General features: G+C 41.3%; 1 protein-coding gene and 1 pseudogene across 4 annotated transcripts in view, besides 3 other annotated features; one reads left to right on the plus strand and one right to left on the minus strand.

Annotated features, from left to right (window-relative positions):
- Positions 1-21,632, minus strand: part of ZNF724 (zinc finger protein 724) — a 28,796-nt gene extending 7,164 nt beyond the window's left edge. Inside the window, exons 1-4 of one of the 4 annotated variants that reach the window (NM_001355406.2) lie at positions 21,478-21,632; positions 13,827-13,948; positions 3,405-3,531; positions 2,504-2,599 (exon numbers count right to left, since the gene is read on the minus strand). In NM_001355406.2, the coding sequence (NP_001342335.1) occupies positions 2,504-2,599; positions 3,405-3,516 (208 nt within the window). In that variant the 5' untranslated portion in view covers positions 3,517-3,531; positions 13,827-13,948; positions 21,478-21,632. The remainder of the gene's footprint in view (positions 1-2,503; positions 2,600-3,404; positions 3,532-13,826; positions 13,949-21,477) is intronic. The other 3 variants (NM_001355404.2, NM_001355405.2, XM_024451520.2) reach the window with 3 other exon arrangements.
- BNIP3P38 (BCL2 interacting protein 3 pseudogene 38) lies at positions 7,556-8,089 on the plus strand (annotated as a pseudogene).
- Positions 12,712-12,912: a silencer, noted in NCBI's record as "peak3415 fragment used in MPRA reporter construct". NCBI's record gives its function as "represses an SCP1 promoter by STARR-seq MPRAs in K562 erythroleukemia cells {active_cell/tissue: K562}" and the evidence as "EXISTENCE:reporter gene assay evidence [ECO:0000049][PMID:32103011]".
- Positions 21,253-21,542: an enhancer, noted in NCBI's record as "active region_14391". NCBI's record gives its function as "activates an Ori minimal core promoter by ATAC-STARR-seq in GM12878 lymphoblastoid cells {active_cell/tissue: GM12878}" and the evidence as "EXISTENCE:reporter gene assay evidence [ECO:0000049][PMID:35858748]".
- Positions 21,673-21,732: a silencer, noted in NCBI's record as "silent region_10459". NCBI's record gives its function as "represses an Ori minimal core promoter by ATAC-STARR-seq in GM12878 lymphoblastoid cells {active_cell/tissue: GM12878}" and the evidence as "EXISTENCE:reporter gene assay evidence [ECO:0000049][PMID:35858748]".

The raw sequence follows: 24,927 nt of genomic DNA on the forward strand, positions 1-24,927 counted from the left end.
GTAGCATGTACCAGCTGCTTGGGAGGCTGAGGCAGGAGAATCGCTTGAACCTGGGAGGAGGACGTTGCAGTGAGCTGCGATTGAGCCACTGCACTCCAGCCTGGGCGACAGAGCGAGACTCCAAGCCCCACTTCCAAAAAAAAAAAAAAAAATTTTCCGGGCATGGTGGCGCGTGCTTATAATCCCAGCTACTGGGGGGCTGAGGTAGGAGGATCACCTGAACCTGGGAGGCGGAGGTTACAGTGAGTTGAGATGGTGCCACTGCACTCCAGTCTGAGGAACAGAGTGAGACTCCGTCTCAAAAGAAAAAAAAAAAGAGAGATTGAGAGAGAGAGCTTTGAGATCCAGGGAGGGAGTTGTGAAACTCTGATAATGCCCAAGACTGAGGAGCATCCTTTTCAGAAGGCAGGCATTCATTCAGGTGGTAAACTACAGGACCTCTGTTCTTGGCTACAGACTGAAAAATAGCCTACCCAACTTGGTCCCACTGAGAATACTGAACTTACCCCGTAACCATCTCAAACTCCTCCCAGTCACAGTCTGGGAGAGGTCCTGCCCTTCCAGAGGCCTGGAGGAAGACACCCATTTATAGCCATGCAGGCAGGTTTGCAAGACCTTAGCCTTTACTGTGGTCCCTGAAGCAGTTCCATGACTCAGTTCAAGGCCAGTTCTGCCTACACAGAAACCTACACAGTGACCTGGCAAAATCCTCTTTGATACTAAGTGAAAGCCATACTCATTCACATCCTGATGTAAGGCTCACCATATGCAGACCTGACTACAGAAACCTGCCTAGTGTCTGCCCTACAGATCAAAGTCCTGAAGGATATTCAGCCTGTCCAAAAATAAAATGCAAATTACAACTACACAATCCCCTTGTAACAAGGCAACTAAAGGTAAACCCTTGTGCAGACATAGCAGCCTTGTGAGCAACCTACAACCCCTCTTCATTACAAACCCATAGGGCATCCCATTATCCTGGGTGCCCAACAAAAGATCTTTTACCTCCTGTAACCAGTTTATAAAAACTTGAAGAGGTGTTTGTTTCTTGAAATTCACAGACACCAGTGCAAAACTATATTGTGCCCAGTGTCAATGCTTCTATTTTAAAATAGCACTGGAAGTATGTAGCAGAATAATTAGAACAACTTTTAAAAAGCCATTAAAATTGAAGACAAATAGGTAAAAAGTTGCTGTTTGTAGATCATATAATCTCATATATAAAAAATCATACACAGTACATTTAAACAGGTCTAAACTAATTAATATACTCAGTAAATTAGCAAAATATAAAATTAACATACATTTATAAGATACGGTTCCATAAACTTAAACTATCTGATAAAATAAAGGAGGAAAACAATCTTATTGATAATAGCATTAAAATAATAAATTTCTTAGAACAAATTTAACCAAGGATCTAAAAAGCCTTTACAATAAATGATGTATCAATGGAGGAAATTAGAAAAGACACAAATTTTAAAATATTTTGTGTGTATGGATTGAAAGAATAAATATTGTTAAAGTGCCATATTATCCAAAGTGATCTACAGATTTAATAAACTCCCTATCAAAATTCCAGTGGTATTTGTTTTCATAGTAATGAAAAACACAATCATAAAATTTACTTGAAACTTCAATAAACTCTGAATAATGAAAGCAATCTTGAGGAAAAAGAACAAAGGATGAGGACAACGTACTTTATAATTTCAAACTATATTTCAAGACTATAGTATAAAAACAGGAAGGAATGTGCAGAAAAAATGAACAAAAAAAATGAAACAGAAACCACTACTCTCACATATTTCAGACATGATGTAGAAAGAAAACTTAATAGTTTAACACAGAGTTTCTTAAAATTTCACAGATATTTATGTGTCCACCAAAACATTAAAAAAGCAGATTTTGTAGTCTTGTATATGCCAAAAAGGGGACTTTGGTTCTCACTGAAAACTTGAAGAAAGATAACGGAAGGGAAAGTATATTCCTTAGAAAAGTTAGAAGGATAAGACAAAAGATACCCCTATGTAAGAGAAAAAATAAAATAAACTATTTTATTTTCCCAGAAACTATTTTCCTTGGAGCACAACTCCCAAATTGTATTTCTTATTTTTATTCGTTTATTTATTTATTTATCTGAGACGGAGTTTCGCTCTTGTTGCCCAGGCTGCAGTGCAATGGCGCGATCTCAGCTCACCACAACCTCTGCCTCCCAGGTTCAAGCGATTCTCCTGCCTCAGCCTCCCAAGTAGCTGGGACTACAGGCATGCGCCACCACACCCAGCTAATTTTGTATTTTTAGTAAAGACGGGGTTTCTCCATGTTGGTCAGGCTGGTCTCGAACACCCGACCTTAGGTCATCTGCCCGCCTTAGCCTCTCCAAGTGCTGGGATTACAGGCATGAGCCACCACACCTGGCCCCAAATCGTATTTCAAAAACTGACTTTCTCCTTGACATTTGGACCTCTCATCTGTGTCATCTGTCATATTCACTCTCACCTACCTGGGGGTTTGGCCACCATCTCATGTCTCTCCATATTCCAGGGCTCTTTGCCTTGCTCCAGACAGGTGATCAGGTCTGGCTTAGAGACAGCAATACCTGTTTTATTAAAAATAAATAACATGAATGTTGCTCATATTCTTTAAATAATGTGCTCAGTAAAAAGGGTGTAATTAATAGAATACTAAATTAATTACAAAATACAAATTTAAAACAAATTTCTAAATATTTAGACACTATTTTAAATTTGTAGGTCCTTAATTTTACTACTTAGTAGTACTGAATCAAAAACTGGAGATGACAATTAGATTTTAAGGTATAGAAAACAATATTTTATGCCACTAAATTTCTGGAATTACCACTAATTTAGAGTGAAGGATACAGATCAGCTCAGGAATATAAAAAGTCCAGATCACAATGAAACATCTTGAATTTTTTTTTTTCTACATTGACAAATCCCCAAGATTTTCTTTCTCTCCCTTTTTTTTTGAGATGGAGTCTCACTCTGCCACCCAGGCTGGAGTACAGTGGTACGATCTCGGCTCACTGCAACCTCCATCTCCCGGGTTCAAGTGATTCTCCTGCCTCAGCCTCCCAAGTAGCTGGGACTACAGGCGTGCACCACTACACCTGGCTAATTTTTTTATTTTTTTAAGTAGAGGTGGGGTTTCACCATGTTGGCCAGGCTGGTCTTGAACTCCTGACCTCAGGTGATCCACCCGCCTTGGCCACCCAAAGTGCTAGGATTACAGGCATAAGCCACCACGCTTGGCCCCCAAGATTTTCTTAGAAATAGAGATCTGATACTCATTTATGCAAAGATCAATTACCAAAAAACATCCTACAAAAAAACAAACGAAATATTTAGGGTAGATTAGGAATTGTGTATTGAAGTTATTCTCACCCAGGAAGACCAGGTTTCTGTAGTTCTCTAACATCACGTTCCTATATAAATTCTGCTGTGCAGTGTCCAGGCATTGCCACTCCTCCACAGAGAATTCTATGGCCACATCCATAAATGTCAATGGTCCCTGAAAAGTACACACACACATATTTACGAAGTGGCCATGGGCAAAATTTTTAATTTGATTCAAGTTGAAATGAAAGACTAAGGAGTACTCATTCTGACTTATAAAAGTGAATGAAATTATCCAAATGAAGTAATTTTAAAGACAGAAATATTCTCTGATGTACTCTCTAACTCTGAGAAAAGACTAGAATAAGATCCACAACATCAATTTATATATGATACTTTTCTGGATAATAAAATATAAAATTAAGGACATGAACACAGGCATGTACATTCTGGAGTGCTATATTCACACTATAAAGAATGAGTTCTGTTGAGATGAAAGACATGTCGAGTTACAAGGTACATCTCAAATTTTAATGTGTACAATAAACTGGAAATCTTGTTATGCTTTTTTTTTTTTTGCAGAAGATCTGGAATAAAGTCTGAGTTGCTGAATTTTTAATAAGCTCACAAGTAATGCCAATGATTTTGCCCCAAAGAAAAATATTTTATCAAACATCCAACAAGTGAAATAACCTGTTTTTCCCCCCAGTTTTTATGGCCTATAAGAGAGAGATGACAGCCTTCATTTTCCAAAAACAGATATATGCAAAGAAACCCTAAGAAAGAAGAGCAGCTGTCAGATTACATTTGATAATTTATACAAATCAGCTGCACAAAGATACTTAATAATGAAGAAAAAATAATTAACTGTATAGTGAAAAAATCTGTCAGACAGCTCTTTAACCAAGTGAATCATTAGCCTCAACTGCACTAGGACAAATTTTTACGGTGTGCTAAAACACACAGAAGGACACACAGCATCACTGCTGGAATATTGTTCCCAATAAGTAAATTATAGTCTAAATTCAACCATATGGAAACATCAGTTTTATGCAAAGTTCAAGATACAGGTATCTTCTATCTTGATACAGGATATCTTAAGATACAGGAATCTTCTATTCAAGATACCTGTATCTTCTATGTTCTGTAATTTTTAATAGTGATTTTAAGTAGTCTTTCTTTAGCACCCTAGAGAACAGGTATCTCCTGATAATTTTTTTCAGAACTTTCTGAGTAATAAATGCCATCCTGTTTAAATAAGCATTTTCTTAATTCGGTTCTGCATAGGGCTAATAGCAAACACAAATGGAACTTCAACATTACATGTTCTCCATCTTTACTAAGGATCCCAGCTTTTCCCCAATAGTAATCTTGAGTATCCACACTTTTCTAAGTTCAACAGCCACAAAAAGAACACTTTTAATACTGCAGATCATAAATTAATGGTGATAATTTTGCAAGGCATATAAAAAGCCAAAATGTAAAAAATTTAGAGAAGGCTCTGGTATATAGGAAAGAAATATTTTTCTTGATTATCATAAGAATTTTAAAAAGTAGTTAAAACAAACTCATTAGGGAGAAAAAAACACAAGTATAGAAGTCAAGGTTTGCAAGTACTAAACACACAGCATTCCGGAGGCAGGGCGGATACAGCTCTTGATCCGAGACATGTTTAGCTGAAAAAAAAAAAAATGCCACTTTTTCCTCTATCTCCTCCTTCTCTTGGATTTATTTTCAGATGAGATTTTCTGGACAAATTACACCTGCATCTTGAGAAAATGCCACCTGTTTACATGCTACGACCACACCCACAGGCAGAAGGACCAAGACCCTCAGAAAAAGTCCACCCATTTCTGGGTGAATCTTCAGAAAAGATTCAGAAACAATGAAGAGAAAAATAGAAGTTTCTCCTTTCCTGTCCTTAGGTACCCTCCCCACCAAAGACACCAGCAATTTCTGCTACAATAATGGAAATATGGGCCACGCTGCCCTGTCTTTACCAAACCCAAACAGAACAGGCCCTGTGACCATCCTTCAGTGGAAAAGTAAAACTTAACTCTCATGAATGTATCTTGAACCCCTCATAGTTGATTCTGGCCTTACCTTAGAGTCACATGAGGCACTTAATTAAAACAACATAAATGTGTCCACACAAAACAATAAACAGAACCTGTGAAGAAGGCACAAGTAAAGGGATTTCTAATAATTAGCCATGTAATTTGAGTGCCTACACCTAAGTAATCCAAGTTACTTAGAATGGCAAAAACGTCAATTAACTTTTCCACCAACCTAATAGAAGTCCAGCTGATAACCATTTAGCTAAGCATTGCCTTGCAATTTTTTTTTTTTTTAGACGGTGTTTTGCTCTTGTCATCCAGGCTGGAGTGCAATGGCACAATCTCTGCTCACCACAACCTCCACCTCCTGGGTTAAAGAGATTCTCCAGCCTCAGCCTCCCAAGTAGCTGAGATTACAGGCATCTGCCACCATGCCCAGCTAATTTTTGTACTTTTAGTAGAGACGGGATTTTACCATGTTGGACAGGCTGCTCTGGAACTCCTGACATCAGGTGATCCACCCACCTCGGTCTCCCAAAGTGCTGGGATTACAGGCATAAGCCACCACGCCCAGCTGCCTTGTAATATTTAATAAGCTTATAAATCACTTGGTAACTTTGGACCTTCCCTATGTATTTTGATTCTGCAGGTTTTCAAAGGGTTCATGAATGTGCGTTTTAAATAAGTCCCCTGTCAATGCTGATGTTGCTTCTTCTAGGCTCATCATTAGAATTGGTTAGAGAAGCAGGCACAGTACAGAGTCCCTTACACTCAGCACTCTTGTCACAACACAAATACTTCCGGCACAAATGAAGACAACAAATCTCCATCTTTAAGTATCATATTCTTTGCTGGTTCTTTAAAGTTTACAGAGGCAACAGAAAGTAGCAATGCCTGAATAAGTCTGCACTTCGAAAACAACATGTACTATTGAAATGTTTATAAAGCAGGTACTATGTGCTCAAGAGTATGTTACAGAGCACTGTGCTTGGAATAACACATTATGTGATTTAATTCTCATAACAAACTGGGAGTCAGCACAGCTGTTTAATAATTCCCAGGATTTAGATTAAGGCTTAGCATTTTTATTTCATCTTCTGTTTCTCTGTCCTTGGTTTTTTTAAAAAATGTATAGAACACTAAATATAGACAGATGACAGGGATACAGAAAGGAAGAATTTAATGTAGTTTAAAGAAATTTTTATTGTGTTCATATTTACTTGTTTGTGACTTGTGGAGCAACTACTGGATCTGCAGAATAGAAAACAAGTTGCTAAATGTCCCTGCAAGCACTGGTTTAATAGAAAATTTAAAAATTAAGATGCTAAAATACATACTTTATTTTTCCAATTTTATCTGCTTTTGGGTTTCAGAAAATTGTGAGCACCAGCTCTAAAAATTTAACAGACTCACTAGTCAAAACTTCCAATCAGTTCTGTGAGGCCAGACTTCAAGGTGGGGCCAGACCGAAATAAGAAGTAAAATAGCTGATTGCTACCCTGTGAAGTTTGTAGAAATCTGAAGTGACTGGAAGCCTGAGAGGAAAAGGCCCCTCTAGAGTAAAGTTTGGCTGGAACCATATGTGTTCATATCACCTCTAGTAATTCTAGACAGTGTTTGGAAAATATAATTAAAAGAAAAAATTTCTCCAGCCCTAGAGAAACTCCAAAATGATAGAACAGAAAGTAAACTGTTTCATTACACAATTAAACCAGAATGTGACATGCATCACAGTCAATCTTCTTAAGAGATTGCAAAGACAAAAAGACACTCCCATAATTAGTCCACAAGTAAAAGAATTTATAGCACCATGTAATACATGGTTCATCCTAAATTCACCTGGTAATGGGGGAGGTGATCCATGTATGCTAATTGGTTATAATCAATGACAAAATTAACTTTTCACATCCTCATGACAGGAGGTAATTTTGCAACTTAGGGAGTTATCTTTTTGGCTATTTACATTTTAAGCAATCAATGGCTCTGTACTCCCTGAGCACTATACTCTGCTTGCCCTTTCCTGATAGCCAGTGTCCTTTCTTGACTCCTACCACAGGGCTCACAGCTGGCAGCTCACATCTTACACGAACCCCAACTGCCAGAGCAGCACTCCAGTCCCACATCAGGTAATGAAGCCTGAGCCAGCCCTCCTGGCTGAAATTGCACCTTCACGATAATGGGAATGGGAGCAGTGTTTCAGCTTCAGTTTCTATTTATAATAGTGACATGAAAAAAATACTGCTGGATTTTCAGCATCAGTCCGCATAGAGATACCTCTAAGAGTTCTCCCTGTGACAGCCCAACTCATTCATGACACCATGGGATAGTAATAGAGCTTCTGAAACAGACACCCAAAGCATTGGAGAGAAAAATCGCTCTTCATCTTAGTAAAATTATACTCAGTAAAAAAGAAGAACATCTTAAAAAAACACTCAGATTAGATATAAGATTGATCATGTTGGCCAGAAAATGTTCCCCTAAAATAAACGTCTCTCTAAACACCCAAACTGCACAGCTACTCTCAGCATGAGAAGCATGAGCATTATGAAGAAAGGGGACATATTCTCAGCAAAATTTTATAAAGTTTCTCTTTTATCTCTGTTGCTCTCTCGTCTCCTAGCCATTAAATGGAGGATTTATATTGGAATACATCTGACAATTTCCAACAGCTCCTTTTTATTTTTATTTTTTTTTTGAGACAGAGTCTTGCTTTCTCACATATGCTGGAGTGCAGTGGCATGACCTTAGCTCACTGCAATCTCCACCTTCCAAGTTTAAGCGATTCTCCTTCCTCAGTCTCCTGAGTAGCTAGAATTACAGGCACCCACCACCACCCCCCGCTAATTTTTGTATTTTTAGTAGAGACAGGGTTTCACCATATTAGCCAGGCTGGTCTCAAACTCCTGACCTCAAGTGATCTGTCCACCTTGGCCTCCCAAAGTGCTGGGATTACAGAGGTGAGCCACAGCACCCAGCCTTCACCAACGTTTTTTGATGAAGAATCAGAATCTGACTTTGTTTATATAGTAAAATATATTTGAGCTTACAACACAGCTAACTTAAAAGCTATTATATTTCTTGCATGGTCACATCACCCATCACATTTATTTGTACTGTAATAGCAGTATTCGAGTTTAGTAAAATAAAAGATACTGAAATCATGCTTACCTATATCTATTGGGTAAATTAATATGCATGTCAGGCTAATATCTACTGTAACAATTTTGTAGTGAATTTTTTTGGATATTAGATATAAATATCTAAGCATAAATAATTTTAATGTACTAGTAATAATGTAGAATTTTAAAAAATTTTCTGTAACCATAATTTAGTTATAATACTTTATATTTCAAAAGTATGACGAATATTAAAATGACTAAGACATTCATCCAAAATAAATATTGTGGTCTTATATTCATAATATTGTAGAAAATACCGTATAATTTAGGTCGGGCGCAGTGGCTCATGCCCGTAATCCCAGCTACTCAGCCGAGATCACGCCACTGCACTCCAGCATGGGCAACAGAGCAAGAACCCGTCTTAAAAAAAAAAAAAAAAGAAAATACTGTATAATTCACACAAATGCAAGTTGTCTACAAACACTACACATAACCATGCTAATTGTTTTGAAGCAGTAAATAGGAACCAAAGCATAACCAAAGACTCCACTGTTGAGTTTATACACTGAACTGTTCTTTCTTTTGCAGTGTAAGTACTTCAGCCTGCAAATATTGGATAATTACACTGGATAATCAGTTTTTTGTCAAAGAAACTTCCTCTGCATCTTTTAGTCTTTATCATTCTGTATTGCTAAGTTTAATCCTATCTTTGTGCTCCACTTTTTGTGTGCTCTTAAAATGAGCTTTAATCTAGACAAATCTGTATCTACTTTAAGAGACTGAAAACAACAACAACAACAACAACAAAACCTTGTAATCCCAGCACTTTGGGAGGCCGAGGTGGGCGGATCACGAGGTCAGGAGATGGAGACCATCCTGGCTAACACGGTGAAACCCCATCTCTACTAAAAATACAAAAAATTAGCCGCATGTGGTGGTGGGCGCCTGTAGTACCAGCTGCTTGGGAGGCTGAGGCAGGAGAATGGCGTGAACCCGGGAGGCAGAGCTTGCAATGAGCCCAGATCACGCCAATGCACTCCAGCCTGGAAGCGAGACTCCACCTCAAAAAACAAAAAACAAAAAAACCTTTGCCAAAGCAAAAACACTGCAATGGTTCTGAGGTCCTAGATAAAGACAATCCTGAGTCAGAAAGAATGACAAAAGGTTTCTTTAGCTGTAAATATGATTTACATATATTTCAGAAAAGCAGAGAATATCTACATATAAGCAAAATGCTTCAATAAAGAGAGATGAACAAAATATCCTCCCTTTTTATAAGGTAAGAAAATAAAGACTCTTATTTCTAATTTATATTTTCTCCTATAAAAGCCAAATCTCGACCAGGCATGGTAGCTCATGCCTGTAATCTCTGCACTCTACGAGGCCGAGGTGGTTAGATCACTTGAGGTCAGAAGACCAGCCTGGCCATCATGGCGAAACCCTGTCTCTACTAAAAATAAAAAATTAGCCGGGCGTGGTGGCATGCACCTGTAATCCCACTACTCAGGAGGCTGAGGCAGAAGAATCACTTGAACCCAGGAGGCAGAGGTTGCAGTGAGCTGAGATCGTGCCACTGCACTCCAGCCTGGGCGTCAGAGTGAGACTCCATCTCAAAAAACAAAAACAGCTAAATCTCTGGACAAGTTCTTGATCTCTTGGACATCTGAATTTCAGCAGACTGTAGGTTCAGGCATCTAAGGAGTAGCCTTGGGCACACTAAAGAAAAAAGCAGAAGAGAGAAAGGTGTTCTAAAAAAATCCATGAGTGCATATGAATAAAGCAAGTTCTTACGGAGAGCTATGAAGAGAGTTGGATTCTGACACAATAATAGTGGGAGACTACAACACCCCACAGACACTATTACATCATTGAAGCAAAAAAATTAACAAAGATATCAGGACCTAAACTCAACATTTGACCAAATAGTCCTAACTGGCATCTATAGAACTGTCCAACTGAAATCAACATAGTATACATTCTTCTCATCACCACGTCACATACTCTAAAATTGACCACACAATCAGAAATAAAACAATCCTCAGCAAATTCAATTTTCCCAAAGTCATACCAAACACACACTTAGGCCACAGCTTTGTAACGATATAATTCAATACAAAGAAAACCACTTCAAATTATCCAATTACATGGAAATTTAAAAACCTTCACCTGAATGACTTTTGGGTAAATAATAAAATTAAGCAGAAATCAATAAGTTCTTTGAAACAAATAAGAAGAACAAAGATACACAAACCAGAATCGCTACAACACAGCCAAGGCAGTGTTAAGAAGGAAATTTATAGCACTAACTACTCACATCAAAAACTTAGAAATCAATTTAAATACCTAACTCTACTAAAAATACAAAAATTAGCCAGTCATGGGGGCACTCGCCTGTAATCTCAGCTACTCGGGAGGCTGAGGCAGGAGAATCCCTTGAACCCAGGAGACAGAGGTTGCAGCGAGCCAAGATTGTTCCATTGTACTCCAGGCTAGGCAACGCAGCGAGACTGTTTCAATCAATCAATAAAGCAAGAGAAAACCAATTCCCAAGCTAGCAGAAGACAAGAAATAACCAAAATTAGATCTGAACTGAAGGAGATTTAGAAATGAAAAGTCATAGAAAATATCAAGTAATCCAGGAGTTAAATATTTGAAAAAAATTAAGAAGATAAACCGCTAGCAAGATTAGCAAAGAAAGAAGATCCAAATAAGCACAATTAAAAATGACAACAGGGGGCCAGGTGCCGTGACTCATGCCTGTAATCCTAGCACTTTGGAAGGCCAAGGAAGGTGGATCACCTGAGGTCAGGAGTTTGAGACCAACCAGCCTGGTCAACATGGTGAAACCCCCTCTGTACTAAAAATACAAAAATTACCCAGGCGAGGTGGTGCATGCCTGTAGTCCCACCTACCTGGGAGGCTGAGGCAAGCCAATTACTTGAACGCAGGAGGTGGAGGCTGCCTGGGCAACAGAGCGAGACTCTGTCAAAAAAAAAAAAAAAAAAAGATAAGGACAAAACCCAAAAAGGATGAAAACTGAGAATGGCACTAAGGCCCAGAGTTTTGGTCGCACTCTGACCAAAAAATGAGAATGGCACTAAGGCCCAGAGTTTTGGTCGCACTCTGACCAAAAAAGGAGACAGTTTTAAACAAAATTATTGGACGACATTATTCTGGACTGAGCTTGTGCACTAGGTCCAAACAGACAAACCTAACCAAAATGGAGTCACTGATGCTTAAATGTGACATAATGGAACTGAACATTTAAGGAAAGTGGTAGATGCTAAAACAGGCCAGGTTTTGTCTGTCTTTTGTAAACAGCAGATTTAAGCACATAATTGCTTAAACCAGGAAGGCGAAGGTTGCGGTAATCTGAGATCATTCCACCGCACTCCAGCCTAGGTGACAGAGTGGATTCCACCTAAAAAAAAAAAAAAAAAAAAAATGGCAACAGAGGCCAAGCACAGTGGTTCATGCCTGTAATCCCAGCACTTTGGGAGGCCGAGGCAGGTGGATCACCTGAGGTCAGGAGTTCAAAACCAGCCTGACCAACATGGTGAAACCCTGTATCTACTAAAAATACAAAAATTAGGCCAGGTGTGGCGGCATATGCCTGTAATCCCAGCTACTTGAAAGGCTGAGGTAGGAAAATTGCTTAAACCCCGGAGGCAGAGGTTGCAGTGAGCCAAGATCACGCCAGTGCACTCCAACCTGGGCAACAGAGCAAGACTCCATCTCAACAACAACAACAACAACAACAAAAAAAAAAGACTACAGAGACATTACCTCTGACCCCACAAAAATACAAATAGCTATTGAAGTTTACTATAGACACCTCTGTACACAAAAACTAGAAAATCTAAAGGAAGTGGATAAATTTCTAGACAAACAAATTCTCTCAAGACCAAACAAGTTGAAGCCCTAAATAGATCAATAACAAGCTCCAAAATTAAGTTAGTAGTAAATAGGCTACCAACTAAAAAAACCCAAGACCAGAAGGTTCACAGCTGAATTCTACCAAGTATAAAAAGAAAAGCTGATATAATGCCTTTTAAAACTATTACAAAAAATTAAGAAGGGACTTCTCCCCAGCTCATTATATAATAGCATCATTCTGATACCAAAACCTGGCAGAGACAAAACAACCCAGAAGAAAACCTCAGGCTAATATCCTTGATGAACATTGCTGCAAAAATCCTCAACAAAATATGGGCAAACCAAATCCAGCAGCACATCAAAAAGCTAATCTACTATAACCAAGTAGGCTTTATCGCTGGAATGCAAGGTTGGTTCAACATACAAAAATATCAATAAATCTGATTCACATAAACAGAACTAAAGAACCACAAAATTATCTCAATAGATGCAGAAAAAACTTCCAATAAAATGTAACATTGTTCATGCATAAAACCCTCAACAAACTAAGCATTGAAGATACATACTTCAAAATAATGAGTTATCTATGACAAATCCAAAGCCAACATACTAAATGGACACAAGCTGGAAGCATTCCTTCTGAAAACTGGCACAAGATAAGGATGCCTTTTCTTACCGCTCTTATTCAACAGAGAATTGGAAGTCCTGGCTAGAGAAATCAGGCAAGAGAAAGAAAGAAAATGCACCCAAACAGGAAGGGAGGAAATCAAACTATCCCTGTTTTCAGATGACATGATTCAGTATCTAGAAAACCCTAGTTTTGGCAGAAATGCTCTATAAACTGACAACTTCTGCAAAGTTTCAAAATACAAAACAAAGGTGCAGAAATAAGTAGCACCTCTATACATCAACATACAAGCCAAAAGCCAAATCAAAAACACAATCACATTCAAAAATGCCACAAAAAGAATAAGGTATCTAGGAATACAGCTAACCAGGGAAGTGAAAGATCTCTACGACAACAATTACAAAACACTGCTCAAAGAAGTCAGAGATGACACAAACAAATGCAAACTATTTGATGGTCATGGACAGAGAAGATCAATATCATTAAAATGGCCATACTGACCAGGCATGATGACTCACGCCTATAATCCCAGAACTTTGGGAGGCTGAGGCAGGCAGATTGCCTGAGCTCAGGAGTTTGAGACCAGTCAGGACAACATAAAGAAACCCAATTTCTACAAAAAAAATACTAAAAGAAAAATTAGCTGGGCACGGTGGCGTGTAATCCCAGCACTTTGGGAGGCTGAGTCGGGTGGATCACGAGGTCAGGAGTTTGAGACCAGCCTGGCCAACATGGTGAAACCCCCTCTCTACTAAAAACACAAAAATTAGCTGGGCTTGGTGGCACGTACCTGTAATCCCAGCTACTTGGGAGGCTGAGGCAGGAGAATCACTTGAACCCAGAAGGCAGAGGTTGCAGTGAGCCAAGATCACGCCATTGCACTCCAGCCTGGGTGACAGAGCGAGACTCCGTCTGAAAAAAGAAAAAGTAATAATAATAATAATAATAATAATAATACAGGCCGGGCGTGGTGGCTCACACCTGTAATCCCAGCACTTTGGGAGGCTGAAGCGGGTGGATCATCTGAGGTCAGGAGTTTGAGACCAGCCTGACCAACATGATGAAACTCCAGCTCTACTAAAAATACAAAATTAGCCAGGTGTGGTGGCACATGCCTGTAATCTCAGCTACTAGGGAGGCTGAGGCAGGAGAATAGCTTGAACTCGGAAGGCGGAAGTTGCAGTGAGCCAAGATCGTGCCATTGCACTCCAGCCTGGGCAACAAGAGCAAAACTCCATCTCAAAAAAAAAAAAAAAAAAAGAAAGAAAGAAAGAAAGAAAATATAATATGTAAATATCATGGAATACTGTATGACCATAAAAAAGGAACAAGATCATTTCATTTGCAGTCACATGGATGAAATTGAAGCCCATTATTCTTAGACAACTAATGCAGAAAGGCCAGCCATGGTGGCCCACACCTGTAATCCAAGTACTTTTGGAGGCAAGGAGGGCAGCTTCCTTGAGGTCAGGAGCTCCAGACCAGCCTGGCCAACATGGTGAAACGCCGTCTCTACCAAAAATACAAAAACTAGCCAGGCGTGGTGGCTTGCCTGTAATCCCAGCTATTCAGGAGGCTGAGGCAGGAGAATCACTTGAACCTGGGAGGCAGAGGTTGCAGTGAGCTGAGATCGCGCCACTGCACTCCAGCCTGAGTGACAGAGCGAGAGTCCATCTCAAAAAAAAAAAAAAAAAAAAAAAAAAGGTAAACTGATGCAGAAAGAGAAAAACAAATGCACTATCTCATTTATAAGTAAGAGCTAAATAATAAGAACCCATGGATGCAAAGAGGGGAAAAACAGACACAGGCCTAGTTGAGGTTGGCAGGACAAAGACCTGTTTGGGCCGGGCGCGGTGGCTCATTCCTGTAATACCAGCACTTTTGGAGGCTGAGTTGGGCAGATCACCTGAGGTCAGGAGTTCGAGACCAGCCTGGTCCACATGATGAAACCTCGTCTCTACTAAAAATATAAAAATTAGCCGGGCATGGTGGCAGGCACCTGTAATCCCAACTACTTGGGAGGCTGATGCAGGAGAATCACTTGAACCCAGGAAGCGGAGGCTGCAGTGAGCCGAGATCATACCATTGCACTCCAGCCTGGACAACAAGAGTGAAACTCCATCTCAAAAAAAAAAAAAATTAAATTAAATAAATAAAAAAAAAAAAATACCTGTTTGGTGCTATGCTTAGTATCTTGGTGAAAAAATAATCTACATCAAACTTTCATGACACAATCTTACCTATGTAATAAACCTGCATGTGTACCTCTGAACTAAAATTAAAAGTTGAAAGGAAAAAACTCGACGGGTGGGGGTAAGTGCAATATGTAAACTGAAAGATTGGTTTGTGCTATTTATTTCTGGGTCCATGCAGGCACGTGAGATTATGAACAAGTGGCCCAGAACCCTAAGTTGGTGGGGAGAACAGGTTGCTGCTGCAGATTCGGTGTCTGGGGAACAGGAATATGCCGGGAGACTCGTAGACACTTTTGAAGGATTTTTGCAAGAAATGCTAAATCAAAAATGCTGTGGTGAAGTTCCTGAGGGTGGTGCCTTGTCCTGAGAGGGGTGTGGATGCATCAGTGTCTAGTGGGCATGATTGTGAGTCGGTGGGAATCCTGTGGTGGCAACTGTGGAAAGAGAAGGTCTGTCATCAGAGATTCTTTCCTCTAAGTTTTCAGTCCTCTCTCACTCTAAGAGAAGACCTGGAATCAGAAAACAATGGGCAGTGTGACAGCCAGTACATAGGAGCAGAGCCTCCCATTCCCAGACACTCAGTTTTATTCCAGGCTAGACCTTTTATGGTATTTTTATTCTGGCACAAAATCTATAGAGTTTGCTGAACACCAAGCAACTCTCCAACACCAATTCTTTATCTAACATTTAAATTCTGACACCACCCAGAGTCAGCACAGATGCTGATTCAGGGCTTGGTCTCAAAATATTGTTCTTACTACAGTTGCCAGTAACAAACCCCATGGGCCCATTTATGCTTCTAAATTATGAGCCCATTATGAGCTACTGTTTAAAAATTCAGGACTCCCATAAACTTGCTCAAGTTCAATAACTTAATAGTGCTATACACAGTACTTAGAAAAACACTGTAGTTATGTTGACCGGATTATTATAAAAGATACAACCCAGGAAAAGTCAAATGAAAGAAATGTGTAAGACAAAGAAAAGAGGTGGGGAGAGATGAAGCACGTAGGTAATCCTGGTAAATGGCTATAATTAATAAAATTCTCCATCTTTTGTGTGCTCCAGAAACAGTTTATGGAAAGAAACACACATCCCATTATGACTTAGATGATGCACTCTTTTCTTACCTATCACATAGCCAGACATAGATTCTGCCCATTTTCTTCTTATTCTCTTAGAAAACCCAGCTGAATTTGTCTTCAGTGGTCAAAATAAAATACTACTTAATCAAACAAGTTTATCTCCTTCCCACAGCTCCTGAACTTTTGAGCTACCCTCAGTCTAAGCCAACATACAACCCCATTATATGCTCCTCCTAAGAACATTCTCTGATTTAGCCAGGTGCGGTGGCTCACGCCTGTAATCCCAGCACTTTGGGAGGCCAAGGCAGGTGGATCACGAGGTCAGGAGATCGAGACCATCCTGGCTAATATGGGGAAACCCCATCTCTATTAAAAATACAAAAAATTAGCCAGGCGTGGTGGCGGGCGCCAGTAGTCCCAGCTACTCAGGAGGCTGAGGCAAGAGAATGGCGTGAACCCAGGAGGCGGGGCTTGCAGTGAGCAGAGATCGCGCCACTGCACTCCAGACCTGGGCAGCAGAGCAAGACTCCATCTCAAAAAAAAAAAAAATTATCTGATTTAGAATCTGATTTTTTCACCCTTCATTTGCCATTCCCCTCCCACCTTGTTTCTCATCTTGGTTGCTCCTTAATATGAAAAAAACCCACCCTTGTCTGCCTAACCTTTGAGATCCTTAAAGACCTTATAATTGGTACTTCCTCCTGTTCCAATACTCCTTTGGAACTTAATTTTTTAAATATAAATCTAACTTTATATTTAAAAGTCTAGAAACGCCTCAAAGCAAGAACAACTTTATCTTCAGTAAGATCCTTTCAGTCCCATTCCATCTTAACTGCATCTGTCTGTGGGTCCTCAGCTTTCCATGGCTCTATAGCTTCTCTTCAGATAAAAGGCTTCTTCCATGGCTGGAGTGAGCAGGCTAGGAAATCTGCAGGGGAGGCTCCCCAGGAAGAACTAACTGGGCCTTTAATAACCTTCTTTTGCAGGATCAATATGAGCCTTTAGCTTGGAGTCACTGGGCTCAAGCTTTACTTTTCCAGTAAGAGTTATTCACTCAGGTTTTGAAACTCAGTGTTTGAAAAATCAAGTAAAATTACTCAAACACAGTGCTCATATAAAAGAAAAAAAATTTAAGGTGCTTAAGTTTTATACCTCAATAAGAAAAGCAAAAGAATCTAAACTTTCTTTCAGACAATAAATACTTTATTATCTCCATTATAAATCATGTAGTAAACAATTAGTCATATGGGGACACCTCTAGGAGGTACCAAGTTTTGTCTTATAAAATTTAGCATCGGCCGGGCGCAGTGGATCACACCTGTAATCTCAGCACTTTGGGAGGCCGAGGCGGGCAGATCACGAGGTCAGGAGTTCAAGAACAGCCTGGCCAACCTGGTGAAACACTGTCTCTACTAAAAATACAAAAATTAGCTGGGCGTGGTGGCATGCACCTGTAATCCCAGGTACGCTGGAGGCTGAGAGAGGAGAATTGCTTAAACCCGGAGTCGGAGGTTGCAGTGAGCCAAGATCGCACCATTGCACTCCAGCCTGGGCGACAGAGCAAGACTCTGTCTCAGGGGAAAAAAAAAAAAGAATTAGCATTAAACTCATACATCAAGATTACAGGATATAGAACAGAGATATTCACTCTCAGAAATTTACCCTGCAATAAGAGGAACTGATGTTTTTATCAATCTATGTAACTCAGCAATTATCTACCACATTTTCTTGTGAACATGTATTCATTTTCTACAGCCAAAATGGAAGAGAAATTTTCCTTATTCTTTTCCTTGATAGCTCTCTAAAAGCTAATGCTTGAAATTGTGTTTGAAAACACTCAGGCAAAAAAACACACCTGAGAAGGCTGGGCACGGTGACTCACGCCTGTAATCCCAGCACTTTGGGAGGCCGAGGTGGGCGGATCACCTGAGGTCAGGAGTTCAAGACCAGCCTGGCCAACATGGCGAAACCCCGTGTCTACTAAAAATACAAAAATTAGCTGGGCATGGTGGTGTGCACCTGTAATCCCAGCTACTCAGGAGGCTGAGGAAGGAGAATCGCTTGAACCTGGTAGTCAGAGGCTGCAGTGAGCTGAGAACATGCCACTGCACTCCAGCCTTGGCAACAAAATGAGTGAGACTCCATTTCAAAAAATAAAAAATGTACCTGAGAAAATTTCTAAACTCACAGTGGGGAAAAAAAAGTAAATGAGAATTTTTAACAATGGAATATATGAGTAGGTATTTTTTGAAACCTGTCTATTTTATGTTTTTGTAAATATTTTCTCACCTTTCAAGCTCTACTAATAAAATACAATTTACAGTTTAAAAGAGTCAATATAAGTGAACAAATCTTTTCAAGGTGACAAAACAAAGGAGTGGCAGTGCTGATTAGAAAACAGATGTGTCTGACTCATTCGTCAAGTCAGGCCATCCAATCCCTGGAGAGATTTTCCCACCCCATCCTGCTCACTTAAGTGTCCAATGACCACCTTCTCAGGAGACACTGCATTACGCCCCAATGAGTGCCCCAAGTGCATTTTACTTGGCAAGTTCTTGTACTAGCTCACTGAGATGAGGTTTTTATCTGTCTTTGGGGATACAATTTTTTTTCACAAATCTTGGAGAATCCAGCTGGCAGAAATTATTTCTGTTTTCCCCTCAATACCAGCGTCTGATCGCTGACCAGCAATATGTCTCCAAGAAATGGAAAATGGCTTGGATAAAAACAATCTTAATGTCTCAAAGGGTTAGCTTTTCAAAGGAAGAATACACCAGGAGATCCCTCTAAGCCCCAGGGCATTCACCTTCTTCTTGAGAGGCTACACTCCATACCTCAGCTTGTTCTATAAGAGAAAATGACCCAAGAGCTGATATTAACTCTAGCAGATAGACATGGTGGGTATCTTGGTTTATTCAGATAGTACAGGACCAGGAAAAAACTAAAGGGTAGCTGAGGACACATCACCCCATAAAGTTTACAAAAAACACTGACCCCCAAAGCATTATGATCTCTGTGCTTAGGGAAGATAAAAGAAAAAGAGGCACAGATATTTTTTAAAATACAGTGTCAGGGGATTACTCTTTGCTTTCTTCTCATGGAAAATATTTAAAAACAGAAAACAAATTTTTAAAATGTTTTCAATGTGTTGTCAGTAAATAATTAAAATACAGTATGAAAAATATACACTAAAGGACAAATAGTTCATAATGTGAATTAGGGAAAGAAAGTTGACAGTTCCTTGAAGTAAAGTACTAAATTTTCAGTTCTCGAGATTGTCAGAACTGGAAATTTAGTATGTATTTTTACTTCAAGCCAGAGTTAGGCTGGAGGTAAGGAGAACTGGGGGATACACGGGAGACCCTGCTTGGAACACACGTAAAAAATGCGGGGAAAATCAGTCCTCTGTGGAGTGTGAAAATAGTTAAGTGCCAGGCAATTAGTCTGAGGTGGAAATCTAGGCCCTGGATTCTTGCTTTGAAAAAAAATCTAACTCAAATGCATTTTTTTTTTTTTTGTAAATTACTACATTAGAGGAAACAAAATTCAGGCTTAACCGACTATAAACTGTCAATTAAGCTCCAATTACACAACCAGGAAATTTGTACGTTCAAGGTGGAAAATAAGAAACTGAGGCAGGGAGCACTGACTCATGCCTGTAATCCTACCACTTAGGGAGGCTGAGGCCGGTGGATCACCTGAGGTCAAAAGGTCGAGACCAGCCTGGCCAACATACTGAAACTCTGTCTCTACTAAAAATACAAAAATTAGCCGGGCATGGTGGTGGGCGCCTGTAATTCCAGCTACTTGGGAGGCTGAGGCAGGAGAATCACTTGAACCCGGGAGGTGGAGGTTGCAGATCGTGCCACTGCACTCCAGCTTGGGCGTCAGTGCAGGACTCCGTCTCAAAAAAACAAAACAAACAAACAAACAAAAAAAACTAAGAAGAAGAAAAGAGGAGAGAAACAAACAAACAAAGACAGGAAGACAGAAAGAATATAACTGTACCTAACCAATTATTGAATTTGGGATTTTTGCATCATGCACCTTATCAAAGTCCTTCAAGCCCCTCTTATAAACCAAAAACTACAACCCATAGGGGTGCTCTAAAATTTTTGAACCACTCTTTGATTAAATTATTTAATATTTTTGCAGAGACTGCCTTTTTTTTTTTTTTTTCTAGACAGAGTCTTCTTACTCTGTCGCCCAGGCTGGAGTGCAGTGGCGCGATCTTGGCTCACTGCAACCTCCTCCCAGGTTCAAGCGATTGTCCCGCCTCAGCCTCCCGAGTGGCTGGGATTACAAGCATGCGCCACTATGCCCGGCTTTTTTTTTTTGAGACAGAGTCAAGCTCTGTCACCCAAGCTGGACAGCAAATGGCGTCAGCTCGCCTCACTGCAACCTCCGCCTCCCGGGTTCAAGCGATTTTTCTGCGTCAGCCTCCTGAGTAGCTGGGATTACAGGACCGCGCCACCACGCCCGGCTAATTTTTTGTATTTCTAGTAGAAACGGGGGTTTCACCATGTTGGTCAGGCTGGTCTCGAACTCCTGACCTCGTAATCCGCCCACCTCGGCCTCCCAAAGTGCTAGCATTATAGGCGCAGGCCACTGTGCCAGACTAATTTTTATATTTTTAGTAGAGATGGGGTTTCGCCATGTTGGCCAGGCTGGTCTCGAACTCCTGGCCTCGGGTGATCCGCCCGCCTCGGCCTCTCGAAGTGCTGGGATTACAGGCGTGAACCAAAGCGCCCGGCCTGCCATAAATTTTTAATAGGGGGAAAGATGAACTGGAAACGCAGCGGACTAAAGCCCTTCCCATTCATGAACCCGCTCCCCGAGTCAGGATTCTCCCCTGACTACCCTCCCTTGGTCCCTGCACAATCTGGGAGAGACGCTGCGCTGCGGGAGCAGAGCTGCCCAGAGAGGGCTCCAGGTCAGGGCACAGTCACTGGGCGGGGAAGAGACAAGACGCCCGGGGGCCGGCTGTCAGCGAAGCCGCCATCTTATGGCTGAAGGGGACTGAGGCCCAGCTGGGCAAGGAGAACTCAGGGCGCAGTTTGTGGAGATGACTGCGGGGAGGCCCGAGTCCGCCACAGCCACTTCCCACAGGTTTCAACCAGCCCCTCCCTCTCTCTCCGGATGTCGGAGCCGCCACTCTCACCATTTCTAGGCTTCCAGGGGAGGCCCTGGCGTCTTAGCTGTGGATCTCCCAATGCTTGCAGGTCAGAGGGCCACAGAGGCTGGGCCTCTAAGAGCAGGGGACACAAAGCAGGGAAGACGAGACCAAGCGCTCCAGCTGCAGCGAGAGACAAAGGCCCCGCCAAATCCCGGAAGCCGCCCTGTCCGCTCCAGTTGCGTGCCTGATTGGACGGTCCCCAGCTCAGGGTCCCTGATTGGAAAACGTCTAAGGCCCAGCCCCTTCAGGCCTTAAGTGACAGAAGACCTGACCAAACGCTGGACTGAATGAAGAAAGAGTGACAGCCTAAGCTGCAGCGTTTTCAGGCAGGGCTTCCTCCCTGAGCTTAGCCCACCCCGGAGGGTATTTGCATTTGACCTCGTGTATGAGGTTTCATGTATTTATAAATAACATACTATACGGCTATTCACAAATGAAAAATATATAATAACAATAATTTTAAAATTTCAGTTTTTATGATCTTCCTGGCTTCTGGCATTTGAGCAAGCAGCCTGAGACTTTTTTAAAAAGGCAATCCTCTGAAATAAAATATAAGCCACATGTGAATTTTGAATTTTCTAGTAGCCAACTTTAAAAAGAAACAAGAAAAAGGTGGAGTTGATTGTAACAATTTAACTTACCCAATATATCCAAAATATTATCAGTTTAATATGTGAGCAATAATTATATATGTATATACATGTATATGTATGTATATATGTATATATGTGTGTATATATGTATATATGTATGTGTGTATATATGTATATATATGTGTGTGTGTATATATATATACATATATATATATATATATATATATATATATATATATATCACTAAATCTTTGAAACTCACTCTGTATTTTACCATTCCAGCACATCGCAGTTTAGACCAGCGACATTCCAGGCACCCAGGAGCCACACGTGGCCAATAGCTGCCATATTGAAGTGCAGCTGCGATGTCAGCTGAGTGAAGGGCCTGGACATCAGAGGTGGGGGAAAGCCTCTTCCTACCAACATCTCTTCAGTTCCCAGGGTGGAACAGATAGTGGCCATAAAAGAGCAGAAGGCAGCAAGAATAAAATAACCACACATAGACCACTGCTGGCCACCTGTTGACCACCTTCCTTCCAGATTAAACAGTGAACAACAAGTGATGGGGTGACAGGAGAAGTAAACTCTATGTCTTCATATCTGTCCAGTCTTTTTTGAGACAGACTTTCACTCTTATTGCCCAGGCTGGAGTGCAGTGAAGTGCAATGGCAGGATCGCGGCTCACCACAACCTCCACCTCCCAGGTCCAAGCAATTCTCCTACCTCAGCCTCCCAAGTAGCTGGGATTACAGGCACGTGCCACCACACCCAGCTAATCTTTTGTATTTTTATTAGAGACAGGGTTTCTCCATGTTGGTCAGGCTGGTCTTGAACTCCCGACTTCCGGTGATCTGCCGGCTCCCACCTCCCAAAGTGCTGGAATTACAGACGTGACCCACCACGCCCGGCCTTTTTTTTTTTTTTTTGAGACAGACTTGCTCTGTCACCCAGGCTGGAGTGCAGTGGCACGATCTTGGCTCACTGCAACTTCCACCTCTTGGGTTCAAGCAATTCCCTGCCTCAGTCTCCTGAGTAGCTGACATTACAGGCGCCCACCACCACGCCGAGCTAATTTTTGTATTTTTAGTAGAGACAGAATTTCTCCATCTTGGCCAGGCTGGTCTTGAACTACCGACCTCATGATCCACCCGCCTCAGCCTCCCAAAGTGCTGGGATTACAGGCATGAGCCCAGCCTTGTCCACAGTCTTGACCTCCAATGTTTATATATGAAGAAAACAGATTAAAGGCAAACTTATTTTGCTATTTGACCTTGGCCCTAATGGTCAGGCTGTGGTTATCTGTTTTATTTTGTGGTGTGGGGGGGTCTGTGTAAGTACAAATCACATGCATAAATGTCTACGTGTATTTCTGCATTACTCAGCATTATCTTACAAGACATCCAACTTTCTTTTTATTTATTTATTTTGAGACAGAGTCTCACTCTGTTACCCAGGCTGGAGTGCAGCAGCGCAATGCGACCTTGGCTCACTGCAACCTCCACCTCCCGGGTTCAAGCTATTCTCCTACTTCTGCCTCCCCAGTAGCTGGGATTATGGGTGCGTGCCACCACGCCCAGCTGATTTTTTTTGTATTTTTAGTAGAGACAGTGTTTCACCATGTTAACCAGGATGGTCTTCATCTCCGGACCTCGTGATCTGCCCACCTCGGCCTCCCAAAGTGAGCCACCGTGCCCGGCCAAGACATCCAACTTTAAATCAGAAATAAAAAATTAGAGGCTGGGCACGGTGGTTCAGGCCTGTAATCCCAGCACTTTGGGAGGCAAGGCAGGTGGATCACGAGGTCAGAAGATCAAGACCATCCTGACTAACACGACGAAACCCCGTCTCTACTAAAAATACAAAAAATTAGCTGGGCGAGGTGGTGGGCGCCTGTAGTCCCAGCTACTCAGGAGGCTGAAGCAGGAGAATGGCGTGAACCCAGGAGGCGGAGCTTGCAGTGAGCCGAGATGGTGCCACTGCACTCCAGCCTGGGCGAGACTGTGAGACTCCATCTCAAAAAAAAAAAAAAAAAAAAAGTTTGTGACTTATGTATAATCTTTAATAAGGCGACTTTAAAATTATTGGTAAAGTAGTATCAGCAATGTCTTAAATATTGTTAGCATTTTGTTAACTTTTTTGAGATGTAGTCTCACTCTGCCGCTCAGGCTGGAGTGCAGTGGCGCGATCTTGGCTCACTGCAAGCTCCCCCTCCCGGGTTCAAGCAGTTCTCTGCCTCAGCCTCCCGAGTAGCTGGTATTACAGACGCCTGCCACCATGCCTGGCTAATTTTTGTATTTTTAGTAGAGACGGAGTTTCACCATCTTGGCCAGGCTGGTCTTGAACTCCCGACCTTGGGACCCACCCGCCTCGGCATCCCAAAGTGCTGGGATTACAGGTGTGAGCCACTGCGTCTGGAACATTTTTTTAATCAAGGGGTTTTTGGCCAGGCTCAGTGGCTCATGTCTATAATCCCAGCACTTTGGGAGGCCAAGGTGGGTGGATCACTTGAAGTCAGGAGTTCGAAACCAGACTGGACAACATGATGAAACCCTGTCTCTACTAAAAATACCAAAAGTTGGCCAGGTACCATTGTGCATGACTGTAATCCCAGCTACTCAGGAAGCTGAGGGAGGAGAATGGCTTTAACCCAGGAAGCAGAGGTTGCAGTGAGCCGAGATTGCACCACTGTACTCTACCCTCACTGACAGAGTGAGATTCTGTCTCAAAAAAAAATCAAGTGGTTTTATGATTCCTCCAACAATACTATAAGATTTGCCCTAAGGGTTACAAATGATAAAGCCCAGCACATGACAGAATAACCTTTGCTTGCATATGCTTATAA

The sequence above is a fragment of the Homo sapiens genome, chromosome 19 (genome assembly GCF_000001405.40).
Source record: "Homo sapiens chromosome 19, GRCh38.p14 Primary Assembly".
Taxonomy (NCBI): Eukaryota; Metazoa; Chordata; class Mammalia; order Primates; family Hominidae; genus Homo; species Homo sapiens.